Here is a 20,106-nt window from a genome sequence, read left to right on the forward strand (position 1 = left end):
TCTCAGGGACTAGAACTGTGAATTAAACTCGGAGTGCCTGACCACACCCCCTCTTAATCCACGTGCTTAAAAACCCTATTGCCAGAGACTTAGGTACTGGATCTTGGCGTAATAGAGGAGGGAGACCCTCCTTGACTTAAAAAAAAAAAAAAAAAAGCCCACAATAATCAACACTTACGATTGCATAGTTTCAGGGGGCTAGATTTGGCAGCAGCTTAGCTGGGCAGCCTGGCCAGGGATCTCTCCCGAGGCTGCATTCAGGATGTGGACTAAGCTGTAGGGTTAGGCTCTGCTGGGGCTGGAGCAGCTGCTTCCCAAGTGGCCACTCCCAGGGATGGCAAGAGGTGGCTGGGGGTTGAAAGGCCTCAGTTCCTTCCCATACTCCTTGGCTTTTGAAGGAACTCGTTTCCTTTGGAAACTACAAGTGTTATTTTATAGAAACGTTTAGTACTCACCAAGGCCCTCAGTGGAACTGGCTGAAAATAGCAGCAGACTCACTCAGAAAAGAATTGGAGAGATCCATGGCAGGGAAGAGAGATTAAGGGAAGGTAGAGCGCTTAGGAGAGCTTGAAAACCCAAAGGGTAACTGGTTTCTATCTTATTATAATAGATCTTTGACTTGATCCAGAATTTTCTGCTAAGTTCTTAAAGGGTTGTATCTGTAGAGGGATTTAGAGCAGTCTTTTTTGGGGGGGTGGGGGAAGGGGGGTTATCTCTAGAAAGTGCTGAAATTTACCTTAGTGTGCTTATGGAGACATTTATATATACTATACCTTGTTCTAGAAGACAGGTAAGATAGCTTATAATCATGCAGTAGCAACTAAGAAATAAAACAAAGTGTTGGATTGGGTGGGGCGGGTGGGGAGGGAGGTTCAGATATGTGGTTTTGTAAGGTGTGGAGTGGACGGACCCCGTGGAAATCCTCATAAAGGCTGATTCCCTCTTGGTAATTATTAAACGGCCCTGAACTGAAGGCCATAGCTCCTGGCTGGACTGAACTGAAGGGAACTGAAATATTCAGTGTGGACTAAACACTTAACTAGACAGAAGCTATTCAGCACAGCCAAGTTCAGTAGCAGGGTGGAGGGTGTGTATGCAGCAGTTTCTAGCCTGCCTAGGGCTTGGTGCTTCTGCCTCCAGTCAGCTTGTTCTGTTTTTCTGCTACAGTCACCCACAGGACTGAATCTGCCTGGTATCCTTGGGGACGGGGTGCTCTGGGCCACTTCTCAATTCTCTCTCCTTAAGTCACTGATGGGGCTGATTAGCCTGTATTGAAGTTTCATTGTTTTAACTTTTTTTTCCTTATTTCAAGACAATACATTTTCAGGATTGAAAATTTTAAAAAACAACATCATGTTTTAACACAAATAAGAAAAGAATAAGCCCCTGCAATCCCTCATCTAGATGGAGATGCCTCCTGTTGACAGTTCCTTAGGGTCTCCTCGGTTTCTATGGGCAGGGGGATATTACTTGCAACTAATTTCTTCGTCTGTACGCCATCAATATCCCTATGCTTTTCTCACAGTCCTGCAAGTATAAACAAACTAATACATCAGTAATGTGGAAATTATGGTGCTGACCCAGTGATATGAAATGTTTAGAAAGAGTGCAGCTTCCCCTCCAGCCTGATACAACAGTGATTTCATTAGACATATTCCTTCCCACTCTTTTTTCCATGCCACGAGGCAAAATGTGAAGATGTGGAGAAAGCATTCCCAGAGAAGCCAGCAAAGGTGAAATGAAAGCTTCTAATTTAGAGAATCTTAACTTGGGGTGCATTCTCTTTAGCCCATCCATGTTGCCTTTTGTACCCCACAGTGGAGAACATGCAGCTGACCCTGAACCTGCAGACGGAGAACAAAGGCAGCGTTGTCTCAGGCGGAGAGCTGACAATTTTCCTGGACGGGCCAACTGTTGATCTGGGAAATGTGCCTAATGGCAGTGCCCTGACAGATGGTGAGTGCCGCCCTGCTCCTCAGGACTGTGCCGGGACAGGGTGGGGCTGGGCGGGGGCCAGGAGGTGCTGAGAGCTTGGTTCTTACTAGGCCATCTTGGTTTGATTCCCACTCAGCCTGGCCCATAGCTAGCCCGGACTCTTCTTAGCTCCGTGGATCAGTATCACAACATGAATTTTCAAGGGTCACAGTAAATGTCCAGTCTTTGTAAATATGTAATTGTTTGGTTTGATAGCAGAGAAAAACATCTTTCATCCCATGTGGACTTTGGAAAATGAAATATCTTTATCAAATGTGACTTTGGCCCATTATTTTCCTTCCCAATACAGTTACACTTTTTGGGGAGGTTGAAGGTGTTTTTATGAGAGGCATTGGTTGGGAAGGGTACGCTGTGTTCTTCTAGAGATACACACTAGCAAAATACAGACAGAGCAGGGAATTTGGAGAGTGTCCCTTGCTCTGTCCCGAATGTTGGTAGTTTGTTTCTTTTGATCTAGTCTGAAATTAGTCACCTTTGGATCTAGCAGGAAATTATTTCATGAAGTCCGAGGTCTGAAATGGGTTGGGTTTCTCCATAATTTTTCTCATTAAATGTTTTGTTAGATGTGATGTAACCATGGCACTTTCCAGACACCAAGCAGGATTTCTGTAGCTTCAAAGGGGTGCAATTTGAATTGCAATTCAAGGGCAGTTGGTTGGAATCTCAGTGGCCGGATGGGCCTTGACTGTGGAGAAAAATCCCTTAACTGGACTGATCGGTGTTTGGGGTGCTTTGGTGCTTGGAGAAAAACATGTGTCATTCACTCATTCAACACATATATATGTAATTGTATTCTGGTATGCACTAGGTCTTAGACCAGGCCCTAGCCAGATGGCAGTGGGCCAAATTCACATGGTCTCCACTGCTTCAGGTTTACAGTCTCCTTGATGAGGGCAGGGGAAGTTAGATATCAAATGAGTAAACACACAGATAATTACATAGCTGTGATTGTAACAAAAGCTATCAGTGAAAACCACAGGGTGCTATGAGATTCCTGTACTTTGTTGGGGGAGATCTCATCTAAGTTGCGGGGTCAGGGAAGGTTTCTCTGAGGAAGCTGAGACTTGGAGGATGAGGAGTTTAGACAGGCCAAGGTGGGAGTGTGGGGTAAAGGGGTGGCTTGGCCTGTGGTGGGAACAGAGGCAGTCAGCGTGGTTGGATTATTAGGAGCAAGAAGGAGAGAGAATGGAGGAGGTGAGATCAGAGAAACAGGTCAACTCAGATCACGCAGCCTTGAAACATTTGGTAGGGATTTTGGACCTCATCTTGAGAAACAGCTATTGAAGGGTTTCTCGCAGAAGACTATGATGATCTGATTTGGCTTTGTAAAAGCTCTCTGGGTGTATTATGGAGAAATGCCCCCGATTTCTGGCCCCTACTTTGCATGGTTAGGGTTTTGTTCTCTATCTCACGTTTTTGAGGCTCAGATTCATTTAATGGATAAGGCAATGTGCTTGTAAGTGCCTTGGATGTTCTTCAATGTCTTGGAGAAGAGAAGCTGTTTCCAAGGTTTGAGCCCCACTGCTCCATGGCATGGATCGGATCCATATGATCGTCCCTGTTCCTCTTCTCCTGGTGGCTGCAGCTTGCCGGATGTCCATATCCCGTGGTGGTGGGCAACTCTAACACACAGACGGAGTTCTGTTCCTGGCCGTCAAATCTCAAACACGAGTTGAGCTCCTCAATGCTTCTGTCTTTTCTTGTGATTGATTCCTTTCTAGGATCACAGCTGCCTTCGAGAGACTCCAGTGGAACAGCAGTAGCTCCAGAGAACCGGCACCAGCCCCCCAGCACAAACTGCTTTGGTGGAAGATCCCGGTAAGACCCCCCTTGGTGAGGACAAAGAGCTAAGAAGTTGCTTAGAGCTATTGAAAACATGTTGGGACATGGCGGGGAACATTTTATGGTAGAAACTGTTGGAGATTTCCAGAGATCTTGTAACTGACTCAGTAGTTAAGAAAGCTAATAGAGGAGTCCAGAGCTTAGGATCCTTATTTATTTTTTTTTTAATTGAATTTGGATTTTTAATTTTTGTTTTTATTTTAGATTCAGGGGGTACATGTACAGGTTTGTTACATGGGTATATTGCATGATGTTGAAGTTTGGGCTTCTAATGATCCTATTGCCCAGATAGTGAACATAGTACCTGATTGGTAGTTTTTCAATTCTTGCTCCTCTCCCTCCTTGTTTTTGGAGTCCCCAGTGTTTATTATTTCTATCTTTGTGTTCATGTGTACTCAATGTTTAGCTCCCACTTATAAATGAGAACATATGGTATTTGGTTTTCTGTTTCTGCATTGATTTGCTTAGGATAATGGCCTCCACTCTCCGGCTATATTCATGTCCCTGCAAAGGACATGATTTCATTCTTTTGTTTTGTTTTTTGATATGGGGTCTTGCTTTGTTGCCTACGCTGGAGTGCTATGGCACCATCACAGCTCATAGCAGCCTTGACCTCCTGGGCTCAAGCAATCCACCCACCTCAGCATCCTGAGTAGCTGAGACAGCAGGCATGTGCCACCATGCCTGGCTAATTTTTTTATTTTTGTAGAGATAGGGTTTTACCATGTTGCCCAGGCTGGTCTCGAACTCCTGGACTCAACCGATTCTCCTGTCCTGGCCTCCCAAACTGTTGGGATTACAGCCATAAGCCACTGTATCTGACTTATTTTTTATTCTTTTTTATGGTTGTGAAAGAATTCAGGATTCTTAGAAGGGTCAGAGGCTCCTTGATGAAGATTGGGACTGGCTAAGTAGGTTATTGGATAAAAGGAACTGTTGAACAGGAAACTTGACTGCTTTTTTGTATGTCCGGGGCTGCAGCCACAGTTATTCTTCCAGGATACACATAGAAATGCTTAGAGCAATGGTTCTTTGTGCAATTTTCTGTCATGCATTCTGCTTTGGGGGTGGCCCATGGTTCCCTTGTAATGTTGGTTAAGACCTCCTACGCTTAGAGTCCAAATATTATACTTGTTATACGTATTACAAATGACGTAATGTTATTTACTGAAATTCCCATTTTATACCTGTGTTAGTGGTGCAAACTCATTTCCATGGCAACTGAACGTCTAGGCAGGAAAATAGTTCTAAGTATAAAGAGATGAGGGGAGAGGGTTGGCACCTTTGTTTATTGTTTATTGCAATGTGCAAAATCCCCAGATATTTAGAGGACATTTTGAGGAAAATAATCTTAAATGTACAAACTACGAATGTAGTTTGTAAATCTTTATCACTTGCGGAAAGTAGGTGAGTAACTGGCAGTAAAATCTTCCCAAACGAGGCCAGGCACAGTGGCTCATGCCTGTAATTCCAGCTCTTTTGGAAGATCAAAGTGGGAGGATCGCTTGAGGCCAGGAGTTCCAAGACCAGCCTGGGCAACCTAGGGAGGCTCTGTCTCTATAAAAGATAGAAAAATGAGCTGGGCATGGTAGTGTGTGCCTGTAGTCCCAGCTACTTGGGAGGCTGAGGTGGGAGGATTGCTTGAGCCCAAGAGTTTGAGGCTGCACTGAGCTAGCATCAGGGCACTGGGTAACAGAGTGAGACTATGTCTGTAAAAAAAACAAAAAAACAAAAAAACTTCCCAAACAGACCCTAGGGAGGGGGAATAATGCTTTGAAAAATGGAATATGATTTTAGCCAATACCCGCAGCATCTTAAAAGATCCCTCTGAGGACAGCTGTCAGCTTCTCCAGATTTGGTTGTTTTGTGGGCTTATGAGGTTGTGGTGACTGGCAAGTGGCGGGAGCAAGACAAGATGGACGTTTGGATCTTTTTTCCGTACCTTTATTAGAAGCAGAGATGCCATTTCCCCATTCTCTTTTCTCCAAGTCACTGTAAAGGCGTTGCCTCACTCCCAAAGACCAGTCATGTTTTCCGTGTCTCGGTAGGTGACTTACAATAGTTGGGTCTCACGGGGTGATGAATGACAGTGTAACTGGCAAATCTTGTGTCAACAAAGCCATGATGGGCACCTGGAACTGGAGGAAACAATTTCTTAAGCTAGAACAGCGGTGGGCGAGGAATACTTGAGCATTTCACTCTTTTAGAGAGGAAGGAATACTTGAGTATTTCACTCTTTAGAGAGTGATGCCTTCTCAGCTTTGGTGCTAGTAACTACATCTTAGTCTTTTAGCTGAGTTGGAAAGTTTGTCTCAAACACACCCATATAACTTAATTTGGGGCTCAAAGTCAGATTCAGCTATTAACAAGTTTGGATCTAAATTCTTGACCTATTTACTGGTCTCTGAATTCCTCTAGTTGATCGACCTTGAAATTCAGAGATCCTGTTAAACCTCGTTTGTTGTCATTGGTGTTGAGAATGACACCAGGTCATCGGTGTTGCAGCAGCCAGGCTGCAACAGGAAATCGGATGCATTTTGGCCCATCACACGTGGTAGACATTCAGTGCTAGTTAGTTACTGGTGAGCAAGGTACCTTCCGATAGTGTAAGCCTTATCGGAGTCCTCTGCAGTCTGTTAGCTGCTGCAGGCTTTTACTACGTGTAGCATCTGAGTTTTCCCTGGCCTCTGCCATCTAAGTAACTATTCATTCTGCACTCACATGGAACCTGTTGCCATTCAGCAGGAAATATTTTTGCAAATATTATCCAAAGGCTGTCTCTTTGCCTCCTTAAAAGCCCCCTTTCCACTTTGCTGTTGCAGGTATGAAGGTCACTGTGCACACATGCTTATGACTGTAGGCGGTGGCCAAGGAGTCTATTGGATAAAGGTGTAGGGCTTTGGAATCAGGAGATGCAGATCGAATCCTGGCCTGTCATTTACTTGCTATATGATTTTGGATAAGTCACAAAACCTCTCGGATCCCCAGTTTTTTTCAGGTGTAAAGTGGGGGTATCACCTGTCTCACAGGGTTATTGTGGGAATGAACTGAGATGAGGCATGTCAGTCAGAGGGCCTTACACAACGGGAGCACTCGGTGGAAGTGGCAGTGGGTTTTCTTTGTATCTGGAGACTCGTTTGTGCATGCCTACCCCCCTTCCCTGCTAAGCCTGGGAAGTGAGGCATTACCGGTGCGTTTACATCAAGGACTGTAGTTGGGAGGTGATGAATCAGACCTTTGGGATCAAGGGCAGTCCTTTGCTGTCCTTGCTTTCTGGGGGCAGAGAGAATGATGGGCTTCTGCCTGCTGTCTCCCAGACTAAATATTTAGCTTTTGCTGTCTGAAGGGTAGGTTTTTCTTGGACTTGGGTGCTATTCACTGTGATCAAACAAAGGTGCTCTGACCTGCCCATGAAGGTGAAGACTGCGATGTCAAAGCAACCCTTTCCTCTCCTTCTTTCCTCTGCTTGGTAAAGCTGTAGAACTGGAACTGTGAAAGGGTTTTATCTGAGGGGTTCATTCGTCCAAGCTCATCCCGCAGAGCACCACTTGCTTGCTAAGCAAGGTCTCACAGCTCCATTTCTTAGTGGGATCTTGCCTCTTCTTCAAGAATAATCAGATGAAGCCTGGGCGTGGTGGCTCATGCCTGTAATCCCAGCACTTTGGGAGGCTGAGGCGGGCAGATCACTTGAGGTCAGGAGTTTGAGACCAGGCTGGCCAACATGGTGAAACCCTGTCTCTACTAAAAGTACAAAAATTAGCCAGGCATGGTGGTGTGTGCCTATAATCCCAGCTACTCAGAAGGCTGAGGCAGGAGAATTGCCTGAACCTGGGAGGCGGAGGTTGCAGTGAGCTGAGATCTAGCCACTGCACTCCAGCCTGGGTGACAGAGCCAGACTCCATCTCAAAAAAAAAAAAAAAAAAAAAGAATACTTATCTGGTCTGGCACATGGAAGCCAGCATGGGACTGCCACCAGCAATTCATGCGGCATACATTTGTTTGCCCACAGACTGTGTTAATATGGAATCAGAGGTCTGATTATGTAAAGAAAGAGTTATATCATAAATTGTCATACACTCTTATAATGGAATACTGTCTCACAGTAAAAATGGGTGAAAAATGGTTATATCCATATGGTGGAATCTTAGAAACATAATGTTGAACAAGAGAAGCAGGTCATAGAAAACAGTACCATAGTAGGATGTCATACGTAGAAAGTTGAAAAATGCAAAGCCAAACAATACATGTTGTATGGATACCTTCAGAGGCAGTAAAACTATAAAAAATGGATGGGGCTGGGTGTGGTGGCTCACGCCTGTAATCCCAGCATTTTGGGGAGGTCGAGGCGGATGGATCACTTGAGGTCAGGAGTTCAAGACCAGCCTGGCCAACATGGCGAAACTTCTTCTCTACTAAAAATATAAAAATTAGCTTGGCATGGTGGCGTGCACCTGTAATCCCTGCTATTCGGGAGGCTGAGGTAGGAGAATCACTTGAACCCCCGAGGTGGAGGTTGCAGTGAGCCGAGATTGCGCCACTGCACTCCAGCTGAGTGATGGAGTGAGACTCTGTCTCAAGAAAAAAAAAAAAAGAAAAAAGAATGGGAATAATGAATCCTGAATTCAGGAGGTTATCTTGGGAGGAGGCAGACAGGTGTAATGAGAAAAGAGTACAGAGAAAGTTTCTAAGATACTGGTCATGTTGTTTCTTTGCCTGGGTGGTGGCTCCCAAGTGTTCATTATTTTATTCTTCTTTAAACGAAATATATATTTAGAGTCTTGCTCTGTCACCCTGGCTAGAGTGCAGTGGCTCACCCACAGCTCACTGCAGCCTCAAAATCCTGGGCTCCAGGGATCCTCTTGCTTTAGCCTCCCAAGTAGCTGGGACTACAGGTGTGTGCCAGGCCCTACACCTGCTGCCAGGCTCTTTTTATTATTTATTTATTTATTTTTAAATTTGAGATGGAGTCTTGCTCTGTCGCCCAGGCTGGAGTGCAGTGCCACGATCTCGGCTCACTATAAACTCTGCCTCCCAGGTTCAAGCAATTCTCCTGTCTCATCCTCCAGAGTAGCTGGGACTACAGGCACATGCCACCATGCCCGACTAATTTTTGCATTTTTAGTAGAGACGGGGTTTCACCATATTGGTCAGGCTGGTCTCAAACTCCTGACTTCAGGCGATCCACGCACCTTGGCCTCCCAAAGTGCTGGGATTACAGGCATGAGCCACCATGCCCTGCCTTTTTATTTATTTTTCTTATTTTTTTTTTTTTTAATTTTTTTGAGATGGAGTTTCACTCTTGTTGCCCAGGGTGGACTGCAATGGTGCAAACTCAGCTCACTGCAACTTCTCTCTCCCAGGTTCAAGCTATTCTCCTGCCTCAGCCCCTGAGTAGCTGGGATTACAGGCATGCGCCACCATGCCTGACTAATTTTGTATTTTTAGTAGAGATGGGGTTTCTCCATGTTGGTCAGGCTGGTCTCGAACTCCCGACCTCAGGTGATCTGCCCGCCTCGGCCTCCTAAAGTGCTGGGATTACAGCTGTGAGCCACCGCGCCTGGCCAGGCTCTTTTTAATAACCCATTCTTGCAGGTTCCCAACAGAGAGAACTCACTCACCCCCATGAGAGGACATTAATTTATTCATGAGGGATCCACCCCCATGACCTAAACACCTCCCACTAGGTCTCACCTCCCAACTCTGCCACATTGGGAATCAAATTTCAACATGAATTTTGGTGGGGACAAACTGCATCCAAACCATAGCAGGGAGTCAAGTTGGAATGAAGCCCACAGGACTGTCTGTGAGTGGAGCTGCTCCTCCTAGCACCTCACGACTTCCTCTGGCTTGAATAACTGGCTCCTCTGTCTAGAATCTCAGTAAAATTTCCATAGTCATACAGGGAAATGGAACAACAACAACAAAATGAGAAGAATGCATTTAATTTGCTTTTTGATTCATAAAATTTTTCATTAATAGGGATTAACATAAGGGATCTTAGTTAAGAAGCTGTCAGCTGGGCGCAGTGGCTCAGCGTGCAGGCTGGGTGTAATCCCAGCGCTTTGGGAGGCTGAGGTGAGTGGATCACCTGAGGTCGGAAGTTCAAGACCAGCCTGACCAACATGGAGAAACCCCATCTCTTCTAAAAATACAAAGTTAGCCAGGCGTGGTGGCGCATGCCTGTAATCCCGGCTACGTGGGGAGCTGAGGCAGGAGAATCACTTGAATCTGGGAAGTGGAGGTTGTGGTGAGCCCAGATCGTGCCATTGCACTCCAGCCTGGTCAACAAGAGCAAAGCTCCATCTCAAAAAAAAAAAACAAACAAACAAGAAGCGAAGTGTCAATAGCTAGGTGCAGTGGCTCATGCCTGTAATCCCAGCACTTTGGGAGGCTGAGTTGGGAGGATTGCTTGAGCCCAGGAATTTGAGGCTATAGTGAGCCAAGATGGAGACCCTGCAATCCAGCCTGGGCAACAGAGCTAGATGCTGTTGCTAAAAAAAAAAAAAAAAAAAAAAAAGAAGCTATATATAGAGCCTTCAACAATTTATTTTCCTTTCTTATGTGTATATGTATTTAAGCTATTTTGTTTAAGAATGCATGTGAACGCACATGAGAGAGTGTGTATGTGTGTGTTTGTGTGTGCATGTAGGCCTGGGGACCTTGGATTTGCCTGTGGCCCTCATCAGCTGTCAGTAGTGGCCAGTGTTGGTCACAATCTGCATTTTAAGATGTCTTTCCCAGTGATTTTTTTACATGGAAAAGTTTCAGAGCCTCTTAGATAGTTTTCTTTCTCACTCCTTTACTCTTCTTTTTTTGTCCTGCTTTGATGAAAACATATCAGATTTATTGGCTCCCTTGCCTTGGCATTAACGGCCTCTGAAGATTTAAAAGATCTGTAATCTCGGAGACTTATAAAGCCTAACCGTCTCCGGTGAGCTCTAAATAGATCATCAACTGTGTCTGCAGACAGCCTATCCCAGAAAGGAAAGAAAAATAAACTCAGGCGGGTGTGAGTCCACTGTGAACACTTCAGGAAGTCCTGGGAGGGCCGGGGGAGAATTGGGAAGCAGAGCTAGCAGGGAGGAGGGGTGGAGGGTGGATAGGAGCTGAGCCTTGGGCACTAGGCCATTCTCACAGTCATTGTTGGCTGGCGGTTGCCACCCCTCCTTCCACTGAGGTGACTAAAGGCTGCTTGATTGGGAACTGCAGTTATTTAGAGATGTTGCCCTGTCAGCAGGAAAGTCCTCCCATGCAGTAGCTTATGCTTAAAATCTGGGTATTGCCTCATTTCTGTTGCTGGGGAAGACAATGGAATAAGTGTTATTTATTTATTTATTTATTCATTCATTCATTCATTCATTCATTCATTCAGTTATAATTAAGACATAGTCCCTGCTCAAAGTCCCTGCTTGTAGGCAGGGCTTTCTTCTGAGCAGTTGGTAAATATGGAATAGGATTGAGACAGTGGTCAAGGGTCCCACTGCATTCTCCAAGCCAGACGTTGAAAAGTAATCATGGCTGGGCATGGTGGCTGTATGCCTGAGTCCCAGCTCTTTGGGAGGCTGAGGCAGAAGGATCGCTTGAGGCCAGGAGTTTGAGGCTGCAGTGAGTTATGATCGTGCCACTGCACTCCAGCCTGGACAACATAGGGAGACCCTGTCTCTTAAAAAAAAAATCATGGAGATTAATTACACACTCATTTATACATTGGTTTATTTTGCATCAATTAAAATGATACATGGTACCTTATTATACATTTATTTATTGCATAGATATTTATTTGGCATTTACTCTGTATGAGCCTAGAGAGATGTTTATAATGCCAGATGTGGCATGCGCCAGAAAGCTGGTTATAAACTAGGAGGAAGGAAGGCAAATCTCTGCCGTTGAAGGCAATATTCACTTGATATACATGAATGCCAGGCTCTGAGCTGTCGTGGTGATTAAAAGATGAAAAGTCGGCCGGGCGCAGTGGCTCACGCCTGTAATCCCAGCACTTTGGGAGGCCAAGGTGGGCAGATCATGAGGTCAGGAGATTGAGACCATCCTGGCTAACACGGTGAAACCCCGTCCCTACTAAAAATACAAAAAAATTAGCCGGGCGTGGTGGTGTGCGCCTGTAGTCCCAGCTACTCGGGAGGCTGAGGCAGGAGAATGGTGTGAACCCAGGAGGTGGAGCTTGCAGTGAGCCGAGATCACACCACTGCACTCCAGCCTGGGCAACAGACTGAGACTCCATCTCAAAAAAAAAAAAAAAATGATGAAAAGTCAGGGTCCCTGACATCAGGGAGTGTCTCTAGTAGGAGACAGATGCATGGATGAGTTAGAGTCTAGTGTGATGGATCCATGGTGATGGTATGTACACATGCAAGAGGAATGTAGTGGGACATTACCTAGATATGCCTGGGAGATTTGGGGAAGACCTCCCACATTTGAGCAGTATTTTGAAGGAGTTTGCCAGACCGACGAAGTGGGGTTCAGGGATGTCACTGCAGGCAGAGGGTACAGCATGAGTGAAGGCAAGGAGGAGTAAGAGAACTTGATGTATTTGAGGAAATAAAAGTCATTTAGAAATGTTGACATGTAAGATATTAGGGATGATAGCGTAGCAAACTAGGGTTTGCAGGCTGAATCCAGCCTGCCATCTGCTTTTTTGTTGGTGTTCTTGTTTGTTTGTTTGTTTTTGCTGGGTGAAATCTGCCGTGTTTTTTTTAGAGCACTTTTAGGTTCCCCCAAACATATATACTCTCTTCCCCACTATCAACATCCCCCACCAGAGTGGTACATTTGTTAGAATGATGAGCCTGCATTGACACATCATTGTCACTCAAAGTCCAAAATGTATATTAGGTTTCACTCTTTAATTTTTTTTTTTTTTTTTTGGACAGAGTCTCGCTCTGTCATTCCACTGGCTGGAGTGCAGTGGCTCAATCTCAGCTTACTGCAACCTCTGCCTCCCAGGTTCAAGTGAGTCTCATGCCTCAGCCTCCTGAGTAGCTGGGATTACAAGCATTCACCACCATGCCCAGCTAATTTTTTTTTTTTGTATTTTTAGTAGAGATGAGGTTTCCCCATGTTGGCCAGGCTGGTCTTGAACTCCTGGACTCAAGTGATCCACGTGCCTTGGCCCTCACATGTATCCACCATTACTCTGTCATACAGAGTAGTTTCACTGCCCTGTGCTTCATCTATTCATCTCTCCCTCCCGTCCCCAGCCCATTGTAACCACTGATATTTTATTGTCTGCATAGTTTTGCCATTTCCAGAATGTCGTATAGCTGGATCATAGAGTATATAGCCTTGTCAGATTGGCTTCTTTCACTTAGTAATTGGGATTTACGTTTCTTTCACGTCTTCTCATGGCTTGATATTTTGGGTACTGAATAATATTTCATTGTCTGCATGTACCACAGTTTATCCATTCACTTTTACATTCCTCCTCCACAGTTTATTCATTCATTTACTGGTTGCTTCCAAGTTTTGGCAATGATGAATAATAAAGCTGCCATAAACATTAGTGTGCAGGTTTCTGTGCAGATAAAAGTTTTCAACTCGGTCGGGAACGGTGGCTCATGCCTGTAATCCTAGCACTGTGGGAGGCCGAGGCAGGCATATCGCAAGGTCAAGAGATCCAGACCATCCTGGCCAACATAGTGAAACCCCATCTCTAGTAAAAATACAAAAAAAAATTAGCTGGGCGTGGTAGTGCGCTCCTGGAGTCCCAGCTACTCGGGAGGCTGAGGCAGGAGAATAGCTTAAATCTGGGGGGTGGAGTTTGCAGTGAGCTGAGATCACGCCACTGCACTCCAGCCTGGCGACAGAGCAGCGAGATTCCAGCTAAAACAAAACAAAACAAAACAAAACAAAGTTTTTAACTTGCTTGGGTAAATACAAAGGAACATGATTGCTGGGTCATATGGTAAAAGTATGCTTAGTTTTGTAAGAAACTGCTAAACTGTTTTCCAAAACGGCTGCACCAGTTTGCATTGCCACCAGCAGTGAGTGAGAGTTCCTGTTGCTCCACATCTTCACCAGGTTTGATGTAGTCCATTTTCTGGATTTTGGCTATTCTAATGGGTATCTAGTGATATCTCACTTTAATTTGCATTTCCTGGATGATATATGATGTGGAGAGTCTCTTTTTTTTTTTGAGAAAGAGCCTCACTCTGTTGTCCAGGCTGGAGTGCAATGGTGTGATCTCGGCTTACTGCACCCTCCACCTCCTAGGTTCAAGTGATTCTCCTGCCTCAGCCTCCTGAGTAGCTGGGTGGCACCTGCCACCACGCCCAGCTAATTTTTTTGTATTTTAAGTAGAAACTGGGTTTCACCATGTTGGCCAGGTTGGTCTCGAACTCCTGACCTCAGGTGATCCGCCCACCTCGGCCTCCCAAAGTGCTGGGATTACAGGCATGAGCTGCCTTGCCCGGCCTATGATATGGAGAGTCTTTTCATATGCTTATATTCCATCTGTATATCTTCTTTGGCAGGGTGTCTGTTCAGGTCCTTTGCCCATTTTAAAAATCTGGTTGTTCATGTTCTTATTGTTGAGTTTTAAGCATTTTTTGTATATTTTGGATAGCAGTTCTTTATCAGATATATGTTTTGCCAATATTTTCTCCCAGTCTGCGGCTTGTCTTCTCATTCTCTTTACCACCTGTTTTTGGAAATACAGTTTTATTTTTATATGGCCATACTCATTTATTTTCATATTGTCTGTGGCTACTTTCATGCTACGATGGTATGTTAAGTAGTTAGAACAGAGATCTTATGGTCAGCAAAACCTAAAAGATTTACGATTTGGCTCTTTGCAGAAAGTTTGCCAGTCCCTGGCTGTAGGAGATGGTTTGAAGGCAAGAGCAGTTCACAAAGGGTCTTTTGTGTTTTACTGAGGACTGTAGATTTTATTCTTTGGAGACAGGGAACCAGTGGATTTTGAGCAAGGCAATGGTAAGGCTATTTCTGCGGTAAATTATTCAGGAAAGTAGTCTAATGGATGAATTCGGAGCTATATCAGTTGGGGTTCATTGCAGGAAACAGAAAACACTCTAGGTATTTTGAGCAGAAAAGGATTTAATATGGGGAATTAGATGCTTATAAAAGTCACTGGATGGGCTGATGCAATAGGAGTGAGGGGTCTCCCTGAGGTCTTTGGTTACAGGCTCACAGGCTTGCAGCTCCAGTTCACATGCCAAGAAACTACTGTGCCCTTGCAACCGCTTTATGTATTTGAAGTGGGTGTGCAGGCGATGAGGCATGGTGTCTGCTGGAGCCCCTGCCAGTCACCACCACCACAGGACAAATGGCTTCTGCCTTCCTTCTGCTTTCCAACCTTTCTGCAAGAACTTCTCATTGGTGCAACCTAAATCACACCCAGAGCCTATCTGCAGGAGGGTCTGGAAGTCTTCTAGGCCCTGCAGTGCGTCAGGGCGGGCATATGGGATAGAAGAGGGTGGGAATGTCTGATACAGTGGGGCTGAGACCAGACTCAGGGACTGACGAAGAGGACTGTTGCAGGAACTGGTGAGGTTACAATTGATGACTAGCCTTGGGCAGTAGCGAATAGAGAGGAGACAAGAGAAATACCTAGGAGGTGTAATTAAGCAGGACTGCATGGCTGGCTAATGAGACAAGGTGAAGGGTAAGGAGGGAGGGGGGTACTCCCAGATTCCTCTACTGTGCTGTCATTCATGGAGACAAGAGACGCAAGAGGCGGGGAGCTAATGAAGATGTCACTTTAAAACCACATCTCCCATGGTGGTCGGCTTTGGTGTTCAGCAGGGTTTATGGAACATTGGTACTGCCTGGCTCTGGGGCAGAGTCATTTCTCTGAAAGTGCACCCATAGGAGGAGGAATGAGAACCTAACTGAAGAGACACAGAGAGAAACATCGTATTCCTGACAGTGAACCACAGGGCCACAATAAGGGCACAATTCAGGGCACGTGAGTGCTAGTTCTACTTGAACCAGATCTGTATCTGGATTCTACTACTTCTTGGTCCTAGAAAATTGTGATCGAAAGGGGACAAGTTTAGAGAGAAGCCAATAAAAAGAGTATGGGTGTTGGAGAAATGACTTTCTAGTCTTGAGAGCTTGGTAGCTTGACCATGTGCTGATGGAAGACCAGAACAGAACTGGCTGCAAATGCTTTAGACAGATGTGGATGGCGAGGAAAGAGGGGTGCTTCAGCCATGGTGTTTGTGGCTGTGGTTTGGTGAGATGAGGTTCGACTTTTCCTTTCGGATTCTGTTGGAACTGGATGGCTCCTTTTAAAGTGCCAAGGTCTGTGGAGGTGGTGATTTGGGGTTTGGTTTAGTGACTGCCTTTCTGGTGGCATTTAAATAGCCTAAATAGAATGACTCCTTTCAAACGTTGAATCAATTCTGTATGTAGGCTTTTCTTTTTTTTTTTAAGTTTATTTATTTTTGAGATGGAATCTTGCTCTGTCGCCCAGGCTGGAGTGCAGTGGCACGATCTTGGCTCACTGCAAACTCTGCCTTCTGGGTTCAAGCAGTTCTCATGCCTCAGCCTCCTGAGTAGCTGTGACTACAGGCACCTGCCACCACGCCTGGATAATTTTTGTATTTTTAGTAGAGGCGAGGTTTCGCCAAGTTGGTCATGCTGGTCTCGAACTCCTGACCTCAGGTGATCCACCTGCCTTGGCCTCCCAAAGTGCTGGGATTACAAGTGTGGGCCACCGCGCCTAGCCTCTTTTTTGTTTTTTAAAATTTTGAGACAGGGTCTTGTTCTGTCATCCAGGCTAGAGTACAGTGGTGCAATCAAGGCCCACTGCAGCCTCAACCTCCAAGGCTCAAGTGATCCTCTTGCCTCAGCCTCCCAAATAGCTGGGACTACAGGTGTGCACCACCACAGTAGGCTAATTTTTAAAATTTTTTGTAGAGATAAGGTCTCCCCAGGCTGGTCTTGAACTCTGAACTCAAGCGATCCACCAGCCTTGGCCTTCCAAAGTGCTGGGATTACAGGCATGAGCCGCTGAGCCCCAGCCGGCTTTTCATTTTGTTTTAGATAAAAATAGTAACAGAACTAAAATCTAGAATTTATATTCTGCTTCACATGTACTGGGTTTCATGAAGTTTTTCTTCACCCTTAACTTATTGAAAATATAGTGGAGGTATTTGTCTCAATATTCTTGGGGTCTGCCATCCTTATTTCTTAAGTATTTTTTAGTTCACTTCAGTCTGCCCTCTGCCTCTATCATTCTGCTGCAATGACAGTCACCAAAGCCCCCCTGACCTGTCTGCCAGTTTAACATCATGGACTAGTCCTCTCTAGAAACATTTTGTGCCTTGGTTTCTATAATAATGCAGAATCCCAGAGTGTTCCTTTTTTCCCTTGGTTTTATTGATTTTTATTACTTAAAAAATGAGTTTGATTCATGCGAAAAATATGTATAAATGTATCATATAAGAGCCGGTTGCAGTATTAAATAGGGCAGTCAAGAGAGGTGTTGTTGAGAAGGTGACTTTTAAGCAAAGATTTGAAGGAGGCAAGGAATGTAACCATGAGGATATCTGGGGAAAGAGAGTTTGGGCAGAAGAATGGCTGTTGGAAAGGCCTTAAGTTAGGAATGTGCCTTTGGAGTTGAAGGAACAGTGGAGAGGCCAGTCCCACTGGAGAGGAAGGGGAAGTGGAGTCATAGGAAGAGATGACACTGGTAAAGGGTGGTGCCAGATCATTCTGATGAATTTCTGCTTTATGTATTTCGAGGTTATTTCATTGGATCTAGAGTACAATTTGACATATGTCTTATGGATGAATAGAACGTTTTGGCCTTATCTTGTTATTCTTGTTTTTAGTGCTTTTTCTCTTAAAATTTATTTGGTCTGAAGCCAGGCACAGTGGTATGTGCCTATAGTCCCAGCCACTGGGGAGGCTGAGCTGGGAGGATTGCTTGAGTCCAGGAGTTCGAGTCTAGCCTGGGCAGCATAACAAGACTCCCATCTCTAAAAAAGATGTATATTTATTTGGTCTGACAAATAAAAAGTAACTTAACAACGTGAATGACTCTTAAAAGTATTAGGCTAAGCTTAAGAAGCCAGACATAGAAGCTTATGTTCTATATGATTCCATTTATATAACATCCTGGAAAAGGCAAAATTCTAGGGACAGAAATCCAATCTGAAGATGTGGGGGCATTGGAGGAGGGATTGACTGCAAAGGGGCACAAGGAAATTTTGGGAGCAATGGGAATGTTCTATGTCTCAGTTGTGGTGATGGTAACACCACTATAAACATTTGGTAAAACTTGCCAAATTGTACCCTTAGAAAGGGTAAATTTTACTCTATGTAAATTATACCTTAATTTTAAAAATCATTAAAAGACCCATTTGGTGGCCAGGTGCGGTGGCTCACGCCTGTAATCCCAGCACTGTGGGAGACTGAGGTGGGTGGATCACGAGGTCGGGAGATCGAGACCATCCTGGCCAACATGGTGAAACCACATCTCACTAAAAATACAAAAATTAGCTGGGTGTGGTGGCATGTGCCTGTAGTCTCAGCTACTCGGGAGGCTGAGGCAGGAGGATTGCTTGAACTTGGGAGGTGGAGGTTGCAGTGAGCTGAGATCACGCCACTGCACTCCAGCCTGGGTGACAGAGGGAGACTCTATCTCAAAAATAAAAAATAAAAAAAAAATACAACAACAACAACAAAACCCGTTTGGTGTGACGTTAACCTAACTATCCCAGCTTCCTTTTGTTTTGTGTCCACTTGGCATATTTTTTTCCCTATTCATTTCATTTTAACCTATTTGGTACTTATATTTTAGGTAGTGTTTTTTTGTAACAGCATTTAACTAGAGTTTTAAAAAACCATATGATTTTAAACTGTCACAGTTCATTTATGTTTCTCGTGATTCTTGATATCTTTAGAGTTGTTTTCTTCCTCTTGTTAATTTCTGTCTGTCCTACAGTTTCTGTTTCCCATCTTTGACTAACTTTCCACTTTTTTTACTTTTTTTGAGACAGAGTCTCACTCTGTCGCTCAGGCTGGAGTGCAGTGGCGCCATCTCGGCTCATTGCAACCTCTGCCTCTGGGGTTCAAGCGATTCTCCTGCCTCAGCCTCCCGAGTAGCTGGGCGCGCTCCACCACGCTCAGCTAGTTTTTGTATTTTTAGTAGAGATGGGGTTTCACCTGTTGGCCAGGCTGGTCTCGAACTCCTGACCTCGTGATCCACCTGCCTTGGCCTCCCAAAGTGCTGGGATTACAGGTGTGAGCCACCACGCCTGGCGTAACTTTCCACTTTCCACTGTGTTTGGTCTGCCTTTTCAAGAAAAGTCTTGATGGGTTGAAGGTATCTTTGGCTCCCTGACTATTTGATAATGGAGTGTGAAATTCTGCATCCAGTGGTGTGAAGAGAGCAAGAGCTCATTGACTGGCTCCCGGCCTGAAGGTTTTCTGTTTGGCCTTATGCTGAGTTTTATATACAGCATGTCTATATTTTGGGTCTACTTTGTGTGTTTTGTGTTTTCAAATGGCCTTTGAAGGTCAACTCTTTTTTTTTTTTTTTTTTTTTTTTGAGACAGGGTTTCGCTCTGTCACCCAGGCTGGAGTGCAGTGGCACAATCACAGCTCACTGCAGCCTCGACCTCCCAGGCTCAAGTGATCTTCCCACCTCAGTCTCCCAGGTAGCTGAGACTACAGGTGTGCGCCACCATGCCTGGCTAATTTTTAAATTTTTTTTTGTAGTGACAGTGTCTTCCTGTGTTGCCTAGTCTGGTCTTGGATCCTCTTTCCTCAGCCTCCCAAAGTGTTGGGATTATAGGCGTAAGCTACCGCATCCGGCCTAACAGTACAACTCTATAACGACAAAATGACACAAAGAAAATTTAATGAAATTAGTGAAAACCTAGAGTAGGATGTGGTGCAGATACTCATTATTTTGTAGTGGAGAATGGGAGATTAGGGCCCGGTTGGTTTTGTTCCTTTTCTTTGAAATTTTACCTTTAGAACCAGTAAAAAAAAAAAGTTTTCTTTTAAATAAAGTTATACATTTTTCTTTACACTTAGAAAAAGGATGATGAATTGGAGACTTCCGAGGAGTTATTTCTTCCACCTGGTTTGTGGTTTTTTTGGGGAGGAAGGGGCTTGGGGGAAGTGGTGCTGAAGCTTTCACTCAAACACCAGGCCACGGCTCTGTGTGCCTCATTCATCTTTGTGTCCCCAGCAGGACCTAGAATAGTGCCTCACTGCACGTAGTAGCAGCTCAATAAATATTTGCTGAGCTGAAAGAGTCTCGTGTTCCTGCTCTTC

General features: G+C 44.8%; 1 protein-coding gene across 15 annotated transcripts in view; it reads left to right on the top strand.

Moving 5' to 3' along the window:
* The window catches only part of WWP2 (WW domain containing E3 ubiquitin protein ligase 2), a 179,408-nt gene that overhangs the window by 75,976 nt on the left and 83,326 nt on the right, over positions 1-20,106 (top strand). For 12 of the 15 annotated variants that reach the window (XM_017022879.2, XM_017022881.2, XM_011522823.3 and 9 more), the window contains 2 exons: positions 1,819-1,956; positions 3,717-3,813. In XM_017022879.2, the coding sequence (XP_016878368.1) occupies positions 1,819-1,956; positions 3,717-3,813 (235 nt within the window). Of the gene's footprint in view, positions 1-429; positions 583-1,397; positions 1,734-1,818; positions 1,957-3,716; positions 3,814-20,106 lie in introns of those variants that run through there. The other 3 variants (XM_047433524.1, NM_001270453.2, XM_011522826.4) reach the window with 3 other exon arrangements.

This window comes from Homo sapiens, chromosome 16, assembly GCF_000001405.40.
Source record: "Homo sapiens chromosome 16, GRCh38.p14 Primary Assembly".
In the NCBI taxonomy this organism is placed as follows: Eukaryota; Metazoa; Chordata; class Mammalia; order Primates; family Hominidae; genus Homo; species Homo sapiens.